General features: G+C 41.6%; 1 protein-coding gene across 1 annotated transcript in view, besides 1 other annotated feature; it reads left to right on the forward strand.

The window, feature by feature from the left end:
• The window catches only part of RPS6KC1 (ribosomal protein S6 kinase C1), an 811,495-nt gene that overhangs the window by 612,677 nt on the left and 182,092 nt on the right, over nt 1–16,726 (forward strand). The window lies entirely within an intron of this gene.
• Nucleotides 6,427–6,956: an enhancer, noted in NCBI's record as "OCT4-NANOG-H3K4me1 hESC enhancer chr1:213843687-213844216 (GRCh37/hg19 assembly coordinates)". NCBI's record gives its function as "activates a minimal SCP1, AML or CMV promoter by ChIP-STARR-seq in naive H9 embryonic stem cells {active_cell/tissue: H9 hESC(naive)}" and the evidence as "EXISTENCE:reporter gene assay evidence [ECO:0000049][PMID:30033119]".

Consider the following 16,726-nt stretch of genomic DNA (forward strand, 5'->3'; position numbering starts at 1 on the left):
ATAGCAACTTCCATGCATGGTGCACTAGGTACATAGATCAGGGGAGGGCCAAAGACTTGTTCCACTGAATCTCCTACCAAATGAGCTGTGATGTGGCAGCCTAGGGCAGGGAGAGCCGCCACCTCACCCATGTGCAGATGCCGCAGGTCACAGCAGCCTGACCTTCTCTGGCCTGCACCCAGCTCCCTGCAGCACACAGGGCAGCTCCCCATGGCACACTGATTGCTGGGTGATGTGGGGAGAGGCAGGGGAGGAGAAGGTAGAAAGAAATGAGCGGGGGGGCGGGGTGGGGAGGGGAGCGCTCTGAGAACACAAGGCAAGAGGGGGCAGCGGGAAGCAGGACCGTGGCTGCTGAGGCTCCGGCCTCAGGAGCATGTTCCATTGTCACATGGAATTCACTAACAAAACCCAAGTTTAAAAATAAAAGAAAGCATTAAATCCAAGCATGGGGTCCTTGTAAACACAGGCCCTTATTTGACCACTGGTCACATGTCCATGAAGCTGGACTTTTTAAAATGGCAGCATACACATGAAAGAGCGTTAATGTCTCAGTCTAGCTCTCTCTAGTATGCCCCTTCTGCTGCAGCTGCTACTGCTAACAGGTTTATTCTATCAGTTTCCAAACAACATATAACTAAAGAAGAAATCTGATTGGCCCAACTCTTGTTCATCAGTTTTTTGTTCATCAGTTTTTTGTTTTGTTTTGTTTTTTAATAAACCATATAGGCCATAGGTTGCTGTCCAGCCAATGGGCTGGCTACTATGGAAACAATGCCCCTGCCTGGTCCATGTTGCATGGCCTCCTTGGTCCACGACTTTGTGGGGCTGAGGAAAGGATAGCAATAATTAAGATCTTTAGTATGGTGTTGAATAAATATATTTGAAGGAGTGATTTTGATTGTTTTTAATGGTAAAAAATGAATGAGACCTCTACGTAGCAATGTTTTGTTGCTTAATTCATAGTTATGCTTTATATATGAAAGAGCATATATATATGAAAAGGATGAAATGTTTTTGTTAAAATGAATACTTTGGTAAACATTGTATTCAGTCATTTATACTGGCTACCGTGGATTTTGTCTGAATTAATGAGGTTTTGGATCATGTAAAATCATGGGCTTTATAGAACATACTTTAGAGATTATCTTATTTAATTCTTATCATTTTACAGATACACAATACATTCATTAGGACATGACAGAATAGGGCAATTAAAGCATAATGCCAAAGCCAGGAAGAATAAAGGAACATCTTAATAAATAAAACTGTGGAAACAAGCAAAAACAACAACAACAACAACAACAACACATTTTTCGATGTCAAAATAAAAAAAATTAAAAATTTAACAAAAGTATCCAAAATGTAGACAAAGAGGTTAAGATCCTTAATGTAGAAAATATTCAAATAAGCAATAAGGGAAAAAAATCAATAGAAAGGTAGACAACAGGCATAGAGAATTTACACACACACACATAAACACACACGAACACAAATTGCCATTAAAATGTTCAACTTCATTAAAAAAAGAAATTAGAATATAATTTCCATTAAAAATAAAATTAAAACAACAATAAGCATAATTTTTCTCTCTATTGGCAAAGATGAAAAAGTGATAAAATCCAAATCTGATCTACATGTCTATATGAAACAGAATTACTCATATGTTCAAAAGGATATTTTGGAGCAGCCTTTTGAAGATCAACTTAACAATATTTATCAAAATACAAAAAATACATGAGTTAGACCCTAAATGTTTTCTTCTAGGTTTGATGCTAAAGAAGCCCATATATATGTGAACAATGGTATAGGTACACAAGGTTTCACTACACTGTTGTTTGTAGATTGACAGATCTGAAAATCTAACAATCCATTAGTAGAAGGAGAGTTAATTCATGGTACTTTCTTCCATACTATAAAATACTGTGTAGTAAATACAAAGAATAAGAAAGACTGGTATGTACCATCATGGTAAGACATCCAAGTTATATTGTTACATTTAAAGAAGATTTTAAAAAACTACACTGTAAACCCATTATATAAAAACTTTTAATAGACAACTATATATTTGTTAAATATTATATACAACAATGTAAAATATATAATGTTATGCTACAATTTTATAACATAGGAATGTTAGCCATGACCCCCTCTCGGCAGTGGGGTGGGAGGGTAGCAGCAGATTGTTCCTGCTCTCAAGAGCTTATAGTCTAAGAGAGAAAATGAAGCTGGCTGGGACCTCAAAGGATAAACAATATGGTCCAGGGTGCTCTTAGGTACTTACTGAATGAAGCATTTCCATGCTCACAAAAACCCTCAGAAGTAAATATTTTATTCCCATTTATCAGATGACCAAACTGAGATCTGTCTAGAAACACAAGGTGGTGCTAAGTACATGACCAATTATCTCCTCAAGTCCTTAGCCAGCCAGAATTTCACAACTTCCACATCGCATGGCCCTGGCAGCAGCAGTCCATCACCTCCCGCAGTGCAAAAGTATCCCAGACATATTCTAATTACAGACAGTATTTGCAGTTATCCAATATTATCTGACAGATAAAAGCTCTAACAGTGGAATTCCTGGGACAAAGGATGGACATATTTAAAGACATTTGATACATACTAATGTTTACTTATCTAATTATATTTTATAAAAACTAGTTTTTCTGTATGTTTTGCCAGCCAATATATATTTTGTCAAGTTACAATGTACTTGGAGTTCCAAAGGGCATTTTTCTAAGTGAACTCCAATTTCCATGATCACCAAATACACAAAAGCAGGAGAAATAAATCCAGGGGTGGCACAAGCTAAGGCAAAACCAAAACAAGCCTGCTCTTACGGCAAAGTAGTTAAGCTGTCCTCTTAAGCTCACTCTAGCAGAGTTATTGCCGCTTATTCATAAGGGCACCAGCAACAGCTGTTCACCTGGCCTACCAAGCTCTCCAAAGGAAGATCTCCGTATGTTGCCGGGAGAGGCACGTGAGCTGGTTCTTAGTGAGAAGTGTCCTTGTTTCCCAGTTCGTGAGTGATGGGAAGAGAAAAGCTCAGACCCAAGACGTATGGAGGAGAAGCCTCTTCTTTGTTTTACAGGGTTCAAAGGGCTCACTCCTACCTGGTTTCATCAGTGAGGTGGGCAAACGAAACAGGTTTGTAAGTCACACCTTTATTGTTGGGCATGCTCAAGTTCCAGAAGCAACAAGTGACAGAACCAGGCCTGGAACCCAGGGCTTCCTGAAGGATCTTGTCACTGTACATATTGAGTAAAATACAAAAGAAAAAAAGAAGTTCTGTGAAGTTACAGCAGAGGGAAAATGGGAGGGAGTATAAATTCTTCTAATTTTTGCAAATTTTTATATATAGGCATACCTCAAAGACATTGCAAGCTTGGTTCCAGACCACAACAATAAAGTGACTATCATAATAAAGTGAAGCATGCACATTTTTTGGCTTCCCAGTACATATAAAAGTTATGTTTACACTATACTGTAGTCTATTAAGTATGACTTAATAGGAATAAGGCATTGTGTTTTTAAAAAATGTACATACCTTAATTAAAAATACTTTATTGCTAAAAAATGTTAACAATCATCTGAACCTTCAGCAGGTGGTAATCTTTTTGCTGGTGGAAGGTCTTGCCTTGACGTTGATGGTTGTTGACTAATCAGGGTGGTGACTGCTGAAGGTTAGGGTGGCTGTAGCAATTTCTTAAAATAGTACAGTGAAGTTTACCACATCTATTGACTCTGTCTTTCACAAAAGGTTTCTCTGTGGCATGTGATGCTGTTTGATAGCATTTTACCCACAGTAGAACTTCTGTCAAATTGGAGTCAATCCTCTCAAACCCTGTTGCTGCTGTATTGCCTATAATAAGTTTGTGGAATATTATAAATCCTCTGTCATCATTTTAACAATGTTCATAGCATCTTCACCAAGAGTAGATTCCATCTCAAGAAACCACGTTCTTTACTCATCCATAGGAAGCAATTTTTCACCTGTTCAAGTTTTACCACAAGATTGCAGCAATTCAGTCCCATCTTCAGGGTCTACTTCTAATTCTAGTTCTCTTGCTATTTCTACTACATCTGCGTTGACTTTGTCCACTGAAGTCTTGAGTCCCTCAAAATCATCTATGAGCATTGGAATCTACTTCTTCCAAACTCCTGTTGATATGGATATTTTGACCTCTTGCCATGAATCACAAATGTCCTTAATGGCATCTAACATGGTGAATCCTTTCCAGAAGGTTTTCAATTTACTTTGCCCAGATCCATCAGAGGAATCACTATTTATGACAGCTAAAGCCTTACAAAATATGTTTTTTAAATAATAAGACTTGAAAGTTGAAATGACTCCTTGATTCATGGGCTGCAGAATGTTTTAGCAGGCATGGAAACAATATCCATCTTGTATATCTCCATCAGCTTTCCGGTGACAAGGTGCATTGTCAATGAGCAGCAATCTTCTGAAAGAACCTTCCCCCCGCCGCACCACCCCCACCCCCACCCCGAGGAGTAGGTCTTAATAGTGTGCTTAAAATATTCAGTAAACCATGCTGTAGACAGGTATGCTGTCATCCAGGCTTTGTTGTTCCATTTTAGAGCACAGGCAGAGAAGATTTAACATAATTCTCAAGGGCCCTAGGATTTTCAGAACGATCAGTGAGCATTGGCTTCTACTTAAAGTTACAAGCTACATTAGCCCCTAACAAGAGATCCAGCCTATCTTTTGAAGCTTTCAAACCATGCATTGACTTCTCCTCTATAGTTATGGAAGTCCTAGATAGCATCTTCTTCTAATAGAAGGCTGTTTTGCCTCCATTGAAAATCTATTGTTTAGTGCAGCTACCTTCATCAATGATCCTAGTTAGATCTTCTGGATAACTTGCAGCAGTTTCTATATCAACACTTGCTGCCTCTTTTTGCACCTTTATGATATTAAGACAGCTTATTTCCTTAACCTCATGAACCAACCTCTGCTGGCTTCTAACTTTTCTTCTGCAGCTTCCTCACCTCTCTCAGACTTCACAGAATTGAAGAGAGCTAGGGGCTTGTTCTGTATTTGCCTTTGGCTTAAGGGAACATTATGGCTTTTTTGATTTTCTATATAGACCACTCAAACTTTCTTCATATCAGCAATAGGGCTGTTTTGCTTTCTTATCATTCATGTGTTCACTGGAGTTGTGCTTTTAATTTCCTTCAAGAACTTTTCCTTTGCATTCACAACTTGGCTCTTTGGCCCAAGAGGCCTAGCTTTTGGTTTATTGTGGCTTTCAACATGCCTTCCTTACTAAGCTTAATCGTTCTATCTTTTGATTTAAAGTGAAAGACATGTTACTCTTCCTTTCACTTGAACACCTAGAGGCAATTGTGGTGTTATTAATTGGCCTAATGTCAGTACTGTTGTTTTTAGGGAATAGGGAGGACTGAGGCGAGGGGAGAGAGAAAGGGGGGTGGCCAGTGGGCAGAGTGGTCGCAACACACACGTTTATTGATTGAGTTCACCATCTTATATAAGTACAGTTTGTGGTGTCCCAAACCAATTATAGTAATAACATCAAAGATCACTGATCACAGATCACCATAACAGATGTACTAATAATTAAAAAGTTTGAAACATTGTGAGAATTACCAAAATGTTACACAGAGGCACAAAGTGAGCACACGATGTTGAAAAATGGCACCGATAGACTTGTTTGGTGCGGTTGCCACAAATCTTCAATCTGTAAAAAACACAATGTCCGTAAAACGCAATAAAGCAGAGAGCAATAAAATGAGGTTTGCCCATCATTCACCTTATTTGATTTATCCTATGGTACAAGCAGACAGGTTTGATTACAGAAGCAGTTCAGAAAGTTTGTGTAATTTGTTCAAGATTCCGACCGCTGATACATGGGACAGCCAAGACCAGAATTCAATTCTTCTAACTCCCAAGTGCAGTACTGTGTTGCTTTGGAGTCTGAAACCCTATAAGGTTCACACTTTTCTCAGCCCAGTCTGGCCCTCCCCTGGAATGCCTGTCTGGGGTCTTCCAGCCTCACCTAGGGATCCTGTGGAATGGTCAGTGGAGTACAGGGAAAGGAGTCTAATGTTGTGTTATTATCCTGGCTCTGCAGTCCCAAATTGCTCAGGAAACTTTTTATGGGTTTTAGTTTTGTCATCTGCAAAATGAAGCAGGTATTATGCACCCACTCCATCCTACAGGGGGCATTGAAGGCTCCAGGGCAGGAGTGTGCAAATCCTTCGAGGAGGTCCCTGTGCTGTTCCTGTAGGTGAGAGAGGCTTCCCATTTTCTGTTATTTCAACTCATCTGCCCTTAACAGTGGATGCTGTCCTCAGCCCCAAGCCAGAGGGAGGAGGCTGTGCCAGTCTGTGGGATCTGGGCTACTGCTCACTTGGGAGCCCTTTTGGCCAGCCTGTTTTCGTTGACTGTCCCAGGCAGCCTGCCTAGGGGCCTGTTTTGCTGGAAGAATGAGCAGTAGGGGGAAGAGCAGCTCCACAGGTGAGCAACAGAGACAGCTAGCTCAGAGCCTTTAAAATGAAAGTGTTCTCTTGAGAGTGTGCAAAGATCTGATTTGTGATAGATCAAAGTCAGGAAATGCATCACTCCTCCAGAATCAAAGGCTCCTTGCTCTCAGGAACAGACAGCAAAGATTCCTCTTGCAAGAAGAGCTAAGCATAACAATAGAGAGTGGCTGCCACCCTCCCCCAGGCCAGGATAGGGGCCTGGCTGTGTTGACAAACATCTGCACCTGGGCTGCACCTGCCAGGCAAGGACTGACCTGGAAGCTGCAAAGTGCACCTGCTCTTCTGATTTCCTGTTGTTCATCGGTGGTGGGGACAGGTTCCACTGAACCTTGAATATCCCTCCTTTCTCCATTTGGGGATTGGCTGAGGATGTGGCAGGGCTGGTCAGCCTCCAGTTCCAGCACTTCTACTCATTTCCTCTGTGACCTTGGGAAAGACCCTAGCTCAATTAGGTTTCCTCAACAGTCTTGTGGCTTCAGATCTTCTGTTTTATTCCCTCTCAGGGGTTTGGTGAGGGGTTCCATCCTGAGCTTCAGTCAGGACAATGGGTGGGGGATTTGCTCTGTGATCAGGAAGGAGCCATTCATGTGGCTTTGACCAGAAAGCACAGAAAAGAAGGGAGAACACCCAAGCCTTCCACAGCACTCGGTTCCAACCAGACTTTTTTATTCATCAGTGAAGTTTTATTCATCCATCCATTGATGGACACCTAGGTTATTGTAGTATACATACACAATGGAATAGTATTCAGCCTTAAAAACAGGAAATTTTGTTATTTGCAATAACATGGATTAACCCAGAGGCCACTATATTAAGTGAACTAAGCCAGGCACAAAGAGACAAATACCACATGATCTCACATATATGTGGAAATTTAAAAAGTCAAACTCTTAGAAGTAGAGAGCAGAATGGTGTTTACCAGGGGCTGGGGTGGGGAGGTGGAGGGGAACGGGGAGATGTTGGTCAGTGGGTATAAAGTTTCAGTTACACAGGAGGAGTTTTGGTGATTTATTTCACAGTATGTTGGCTACAGGTAAGAACAATGCATTGAATATTTCAAACAAGCTACAAAATAGGATTTAAAACCTTCCCATCACAAAGAAATGATACGAGGCGGGCATATCACTTGAGATCAGGAGTTCAAGACCAGCCTGGCCAACATGGCGAAATGCCATCTCTACTAAAAATACAAAAGTTAGCTGGGCATGGTGGCGCATGCCTGTAATCCCAGCTACTCGGAAGACTAAGGCAGAAGAATCGCTTGAACCTGGGAGGTGGAGGTTGCAGTGAGCAGAGATCGTGCCACTGCACTCTAGCCTGGGCAACAGAGGGAGAATCTGTCTTAACAACAACAACAACAACAAGAAAACAAAAACAAAGAAATGATAACTATTCAAGGGGATGGATATACTAATTAACCTGATTTGATTATTTCACAGTGTATATAAGTATTGAAACATCACCTGTGCCCCATAAATATATATGATTATTGCTTGTCTATTAAAAATAAAGCTAAAAAAAAAAAGAAAATTGAGGCTAGCAAGAGTGATGGTCCTTGGCTCTCCACCCCAACCCTACCCACACAGGTCACTTTAGCCACATTCATTCTTACTTCTACTATCCAAGGATAGGTTGTTCCTTCTCTTCCTCAAAGCTTCCAGGATGCTCTGGACTGTACTCTATCCCATATCTCCAAAACCTTGTCCCACTGGTTGTATTCAACCTCTTGCCCGCCTGGTGAGCCTTCCTTTCGGCCTGGGAACATACTCAACACATCCTCTCCTATAAATGAAGCAAACTGAAACTCTTCTCCACACCCATATTTGGCCACAACCTGATCTCTTTTCTCCCTTTCTCATCCACTCTTGAAAGCCTTGTCCATATTCTGGGCCTCCATTTCTGTATTTCACATTTTCAAACACATTTCAATCTGATTCCAGCCTTCACTGCTCTACTGAAACTTCTCTTGAAAAAATCACTGGAAAATCTTAATTGCCAAGTTCAAATCTTTACCATAGAGGACCTGTTTGCTGAAAGTGAGACAGTGAAAATGCCATTCTACTTCAGATGTTAGATTATCTTAGCCTCTGTGATTCCATGCACCTTTGGCCTTCCTGCTATGTCTCTTATTACCCCTTTATCTCCTCTGTGGGGACCTCTTCTATGCACTCATAAAATTCATCATTCTAGAGTTTTACTCTACACTCTTTTATCATCTAGCCTTATCCACTCTGAGTGTTTCAACTCCCACATATAAACTAATAATTTTCAAATCATTATTTTCGGTCCAGAGCTTTCCCCTGAGCTTCACACTTGCATAACCAACAGTGGGCTAGATGTTTTTACCTGGATGGACCATTCAGCATATCCAATACTAAACTCGTCATCTCATCCCTGTACGTTTTCTTCACCATTTCCAATCTCAGTTGCTGGCATTTCCATCCATCTCAGGTTCCCATCAGGCCAGAAACCTGAGAAACATCTCCCTCCACCCAAGTGCCTCCAGTTGTACCTTATAAGAAAAATTATCAAAATCTGTCCCATCTTCACTATCTTTCCTACCCCAAACTCTGGGAAAAGAGATAGAGTTCTACATGGGAGGGCTTTTGAGGCTCCACGCTAAGAATATGTCATAGACCTGAAGCTACTAAGACCGAAGTTTCCATGTGACTCTGATTTAGAGCCTCTGAGCAGGGTGGACAGCAACTGGGATTCATACAGATCCATAAACATGGATCAGCAGCTCAGTGAGATGTCCCACACTATTATTCCCAATGGAAACAATTTCTTCTACTTCCCAGCTGTCAGGAGATAAGCTGGAATAAGTCAGGAGTAGTTAAGTTGTCTCTGGATAACACACAATCAGATATTCTAAAAGACAGTGGATTCAATTGCTTCTCCAAGGAACTGCCTAGACTTTCACTGTTGGTAAACCTAATCAGGGCTGAAGAGAAAAAAGAGGTGAATTTGTCAGCCAGATGTACAGAACTCAGGTTAGAGATACTGCAGTGGACGTTAGCAGCTGGAAGTGATGATGGTTTCACTCCACAACTTGAAGACACATCCCTGACAGGTGTGATCCCAGAGCATGAAATAAGTGTTCCCTGATCAAGGTCAGGAACTCCTACAAGCACTATCTATAGAAATTCTGAGGCCACAGTGCCTATCCCAAGACCAGATATAGGGCCTCAAAGAGAGAGAAGTACTTTTTAGTACTAAGGGAAATTTTCTGCCTGTATTATGTGGTTTCAGAATGTCCTGGAAAACCTTCTCCCTCTTAAGCCTATAGCTCCATTAGAATAGCCCTCTACCATTTAGTGTGAATTGGGTTTGTTTTTTTCCTTTCTTCAATCTTATCCCTTTCTTTTAAAAAATAATTATTCTTTCTTTTTTAGTCATTTCAATTTGTCTTTTTGATTCAGGGGGTACATGTATAGGTTTGTTACATTGGTATATTGCATGATGCTGAGGTTTGAGATATGAGTGATCCCATCTCTTAAATAGGGAGCATAGTACCCAGTAGTTTTTCAACTCTTGACCCTTTCTCTCCCTACCCCTTCTGGCAGCCCCCAGTGTCTATTGTACCATTTTTTTTTTGAGACAGAGTCTCGCTATGTTGCCCAGGTTGGAGTGCAGTGGCATGATCTCAGCTCACTGCAACCTTGGCTTCCTAGGGTCAAGTGATTCTCTTACCTCAGTCTCCCGAGTAGCTGGGACTACAGGTACATGCCACCACGCCTGGCTACTTTTTGTATTTTTAGTGGAGACAGGGTTTTGCCATGTTGGCCAGACTGGTCTTGAACTCCTAATCTCAGGTGGTCCACCCACCTCAGCCTCCCAAAGTCCTAGGATTACAGGCATGAGCCACTGCACCTGGCTTGTACCATCTTTATGTTTATGAGTACCCAATGTTTAGCTCCCACTTTTAAGTGAGAATATATAGTGTTTGGTGTTCTGTTCCTATATTAGTGTGCTTAGGATAATGGCCTTAGGATAATGACTCCATCCATGTTGATGCAGAGGACATGATTTTATTCTTTTTATGGCTATGTAGTATTCCATTGTGTATATATACACCACATTTTCTTATCCAATCCACTACTGATGAATGGCATCTAGGTTGATTCCATGACTTCGCTATTGTAAATAGTGCTGTGATGAACATACAAATGCCTGTGTCTTTTTGGTAGAACAGTTTATTTTCTTTTGGATATAAACCCAGTAATGGGATTGCTGGGTTGAATGGTAGTTATATTTTACTTCTCCAGACTGTTTTCCCCAGGGGCTGAACTAATTTACATTCCCACCAACAGTGCATAAGCATTCCCTTTTTCTCTGAAGGCTTGCCAGCATCTGCTTTATCTTTTTTTTAACTTTTTAATAATAGCCATTCAGACTGGTATAAGATGGTATCTCATTGTGGTTCTGATTTTCATTTCTCTGATGATTTGTGATGTGAGGCATCTTTTCATGTTTGTTAGCCACTTGTATGTCTTCTTTTGAGAAGTGTCTGTTCGTGTCCTTTGCCCATTTTTTAATGGGGTTTCCTGTTTTTTGCTTGCTGAATTGTTTAAGTTCCTTATAGATTCTGGGTATTAGACCTTTGTTGGTTGCATTGTTTGCAAATATTTTCTCTCATTCTGCAGGTTGTCTGTCTACTCTGTTGATAGTTACTTTCTTTGGCTGAGCAGAAGCTCTTAAAATCTTTAAGCTCTTTAGGTTCCACTTGTCAATATTTGGTTTTGTTGCAATTGCTTTTGAGAACTTAGTCATAAATTCTTTCCAAAGGCCAATGCAAAGACTTTCTCTTAGCACCTGTCACATGCTGCTCTAATTGTTGGTTATCATTCTGTCTCCTAGCTAGTAGAGCCCTTGGAGTCCTCGGGAGGCTACTAGTCATTCATCTTTGTGTCCAGAATGGTGTTTCTTAGGTTTTCTTCTAGGATTCTTATAGTTTGAAGTCTTACATTTAAACCTTTAATCCAACTTGAGTTAATTTTGGCATGTATATGGCAAAAGGTAGGGGTCCAGTGTTATTCTTTCGCATATGGCTAGCCAGCTATCCCAGCCCCATTGCTTATTTTTGTTGGTCTTACCCCTTTCTAAGGTATCCTGCATACTGCTCTTAGAGTGGTCTTTCTAAATTATATGTCTAGGCTGGGCATGGTGGCTCACACCTGTAATCCCAGCACTTTGGGAGGCTGAGGCAGGAAGATCACCTGAGCTCAGGAGTTAGACACCAGTCTGACCAACATGGTGAAACCCTTTCTCTACTAAAAATGCAAAAATTAGCTGAGTATGGTGGTGGGCACCTGTAATCCCAGCTACTTGGGAGGCTGAGGCAGGAGAATCACTTGAACCCAGGAGGCGGAGGTGGTAGTGAGCCAAGATGGCACCACTGCACTCCAGCCTGGGAAACAGAGCAAGACTCTGTCTGAAAGAATTTTTTTTAAAAAAGTATACATCTAATATCATATTCTTCTCTAAGGCCTTTCACTGATTTCCTTTACCTTTCAGATAAAGTTCTAACTCAGCTAAACCTATTACATCCTTTGTGATCTGACTTCTACCTTCCCCTGTAGCTTGCTTTCCACTTCCCTTCCTCTGGAATTCTTACTCCAGCTATATTGAAACACATGCAGTTCCCTGAGAAGAACGTGCATGTCTGGGTTTCTATACCTTTACACGTGTTGTTCTCTCTTGCTGTAACAAATTTCTTCTTGCTAATGTCAAAAATCAGCTTTGGTATCTCTCTTTACTCTCTCAGCTGGCAAGCTCTGTGTCCCCAAAACACCAAGGCCCCTTCTCTTCACACCTGTCACATGCTGCTCTAACTGTGGCTTATCATTCTGTCTCCCAGCTAGTAGAGCCCTTGGGGTCCTTTAAAGGCTCCTAGTCATGCATCTTTGTGTCCCAATGCTTAGGAGAGTATCTGTCATATAGGAGATGCTCAACAAATGTCTCACAGCAAGCTTTGTCTGAGGAATGGAGAAAAAAGAAAGAAACTGCATACGTGGGAGGAGAAGTCCCGTGTCAGACGGAAGGAGAGGATGTCTTCTGAGAATGTTTTGCTTTATAGTTGAGTTGGGAGTTGAACTCTAATTCAGCAATGGACAGATGACTATATACTCCCCGGCCCCATTGGCTTCAGGTACCCTCAGTCAGCTGTTCACATTGCACCAAGTTACCTCTTCATTGCCCAGCCTTCCATTTCACTTTGCACTTTTGAATGAGGGCAACAAATTTGACCCTGTGGAGCTACGTTTAAAAGTGGAACTAAAAATGGGGGCATGCCCCTTCTCCAACCAGACTTCTTTTCTGTATACCCCATCCTACCTCCTTGTATACCTGCTCACTTCTCTGAGATCAAGTTTTAAAATGCATCAATAAAATGTCCCCCAACCTAAGTTGATTCTTCTGCTGATACACAGTGGCAGCTTTTAAATACAGGAGGCTCCAGTTGTCACTTTCAATCATAGGCTCTGCTGAGGGAGACTTAGGACTTAATCATCTTAAGAAAACAAACAGAGGCCCTCTGCTGAGGAGCAGCATGCTGACAGATAGATAGATAGGAGAGAGGACAGAAATTGGCATGCCCAGGATCCTTCCTGTGATCCATACGATGCAGTTCCAGCACTTACAGACCAGGTCCCAGAGAATGAAAATGACAACTCGACATGCCCCTTATCCTTTCCAATTAGCATCTAGTTCATGTTCTTTCTCTCTTGCCTTCTCCATCCCTAAGAGCATCTGGCCCTTTTAAAGGAACAAGGTCTCTTGTTATTCCCCATTCAACTCTCACTCCTCACCTGAACTGGTACCAGACCATCAAAACTTAGAATGTGACAGCTGAAAAGATCTAGTCCACAAGAGGTCTAGTCTAGTATCATCATTTTACAAGTGTGGAAGAGAGTTCAGCTCGGGAGATCCATTTATAAATGGTCAGATAGACTAGAGTTGAACCCAGATCTGCCAATTACCAGCCCAGTTCTCTTCAGCTTCTCAAATGGCTACATATTAGCATCATCTGGGGATCTTAAGAAGAAGAATAAAAGTAAAATTAAAACACTTGTGCCCAGACCCCAGGCATCAGTAGATTTTAGGAACTCCCCATGTGGCATTAATGTAAACCCGGAGTTCAGAAAAACTGAATGCACCCAATTTCTTTCCAGACTCTGTTCAGATTCACTGGGCATTGTATGTGGGGGGAGATGTAATTAGGGAGAAGAATGCTGGGTTGTTGTATATTGAGAAGCAGAAATGAACTCTGTAAGATCTTTTGGCCAGGCTGGGTGTGGTGGCTCATACCTGTAATCCCAGCACTTTGGGAGGCTGAGGTGGGTGGATCACGAGATCAGGAGTTCGAGACCAGCCTGGCCAAGATGGTGGAACCTTGTATCTACTAAAAATACAAAAAATAGCTGGGCATGGTGGTGGGCACCTGTAATCCCAGCTACTCGGGAGGCTGAGGCAGGAGAATTGCTTGAACCCGGGAGGCAGAGGTTGCAGTGAGCCAAGATTATGCCACTGCACTCCAGCCGGGGCGACACAGCAGGACTCTGTCTCAAAAAAAAAAAAAAGATATTTTGGCCAGACCAGAGATCCCTAACGAGGAATGTTTAATTCCCTCTGAAGGAGTTTCTTGTTTCGTTTAAACCGGCACAGGGCTATCAACCATTTTTTGCTGGGCATGGAACTTGGTATTAGGTGTTATTAATTTGGTGTTATTAATTGTGAAGACACAGACAAAAGGACACTGGCCCTTGATTTCTGAAACAATAGATCACATAGGAAACCCTTGCAAAATAACTTAACATCTTTACAAGGAAACATGTGTTCAGAAGCTTGCAGACACACTAGCCCCTGCATTAAGAACACAGCTGGCCCAAGGGCCATGAATTATTGGCTTCTTAAGCCCAAGGTGTCATTCAGGGTCCTGCTCACAGTAGGCACTCCATAAATGCTTGATGTCTGGGCTGAAACTCTGAGCCTGAAGCTGAGGAAGGAACTGGCAATAAAAATGATCTAATAGAACAGTTAGGAACTGTTGTGAATTAGCCCATCTGTAAGGTCAGAGGCTCCCCAGAGGGCAGCTAGGCATGTGCCCCAAAGCAAACTTCCCACACCTGGCTGATCATAAGCCTCAGCTGGGGATTTTCAAAATCCCATATAGATTTTTGGTCTGACCCAGACATACTGAGTCAGGGTTCCCAAGGGTGCTACCTGGAAGTCTGCATTATTTTATAAGTGTCTTGGGCATTTCTAATCATCAGTGAGGTTTGATAATTTCTGCTTGAGGAAACTTTAAGCCTGAACTTGAGTCACTACACAGTGAAGTGATTTAATCTTTACTTGGGAGTCACGCTGACTAAACTAACGAATTTCTGGCATGATGTGAAAACTTGCTGGCTGTTCCTCCTTAGCAAGTTGTCCTACCTCTCTGAGCCCATTTTGTCACCTGTAAATCTGCAAAGGGTGGCTCTAATGTGGGTAAAACACTAGCACAATTCCTGGCAGAAAGTAAGCGCTCAGTAATTGAAAGCTGTTGCTATTTGAACATTCCTTCCATGTTGGAGAATGGGTCTCAGTGGCCTGAGGTCTAGGGACTTGGAAGGTGGGTCCTTCCCTCTCTGGCCCTGGTCAGTTCAAGACAGATAACTGAATACCAGGGGAAGGAAGTGAGAACTTGCATTTTATAAAGTGTCTTCCAGTATAAAACGAGCCAAGTAAAGTGCTGCAGTCTTTGCCCTCTTAGCACTCGTTGGCAATGTGATCTGGCAAGACCTTGAACTTCTGGGTTTCAACATCCTTTTGCAAAATGGGGATAATAATGCCCTATGTCCTTCCATACTCACAGAATCCAGGAAGATTAAAAACACACCAAACCACAGTTCTACCTTGTTTAAACAGATAGTTATTGAATGCTTGTGACAGTCAGGCTGCGTGCTAAGTGGTGTATGTGCATTATTTCATGCATGCCATGGCATTATCAGTAGGTTCCAAGTTGTACCCATTTTATAGTTAGGAAAGCAAGGCTTAGAGAAGACAAGTAACTCAAAGTTACTGATAGGAGGTGAAGCTGGCATTCAAACCCAGGCCATTCAGACTAGACAGATAGCCATAACCTCTATAGTCCTCATGTCATCACAACTCACCAGAGTTCCAGACCCCATCATGTTCCTTCTCAAATTAAATCCACCCATTGGCCAGGAATGCTAAATATCATTTTCTTCCATGTCCAATTCAGGCTTGAATCCAAGGCCTTAGCTTTTCTACTATCCTACTGCTTTCTCCCATGGCAAGACTTAAAACCTAAAAGCAGCATGTTAAAGAGAGCTTGCTACATAGGACTGTACTTTAAGGAATTCTCATGAAATCAACTTTATGAATTTAGCTTTGTACATTCATTAAAAAATAACACAGCCAGCTGTTTTGATCTGCTAGAGTGCTTAGTTGTAGATATGCCTCTATTTAGGAAAACTTGGCATGTAAGACTCCATAGTGACAAAACAGATATATTTAAGGGTGAATAATTACACATTATAGAAAGATTTGCTTTAATTTTTTTTAAGTGTTCTCGAAATTTGTTTCTCTTTTATTAAATATTTGTCAAAGAGACTGGAGTGGAAAGAGGGAGGCAGAAAAATTTCACGTTAAAGAAGGAACGATCCAGAATGTCTCTAAATGATAATGAGAGTCGCTGGAAACAGGGGATCATGTTTACCCAAAGAAATTGTGTTATCTACAACTTTTCGGGAACACGAGTATTGCACAAAGAGAAGTACCCCTGAAGCTTCTTGATGTTGAATCGGAGGTTACAACGCAGACTCAAAGGGCTGGATTTGTGCCTGTTACGTGAAAAACAGCACGAGATGTGAATCAGTCGATATCCCTCTAGTGCTGAAAGCTGCCTTCTGAGTCCCAGCCCGGCTCTCCTGGTCCAGAGATCTGTTTCACAGGAACCTGAAAACCTGCCAAATCCATCACCCATGATGAGCAGGTGAGCTGAGGGGCCCCTGATTTATGTCAAACCATCCTAGGGGCAGAACTGCCTTGCAAAAGGACTGTCAGAACTGATCAATGAATAAATGAAGTCACTGACCAGGGGACAGCTCACTCTCTTCATTTTTAAGGATTTTGCAATGAGAAAATCACTAAGATCCATGTTAGGACATGATAATATTATCCTAAAGCGCCTTTTTTA

The sequence above is a fragment of the Homo sapiens genome, chromosome 1, assembly GCF_000001405.40.
Source record: "Homo sapiens chromosome 1, GRCh38.p14 Primary Assembly".
In the NCBI taxonomy this organism is placed as follows: domain Eukaryota; kingdom Metazoa; phylum Chordata; class Mammalia; order Primates; family Hominidae; genus Homo; species Homo sapiens.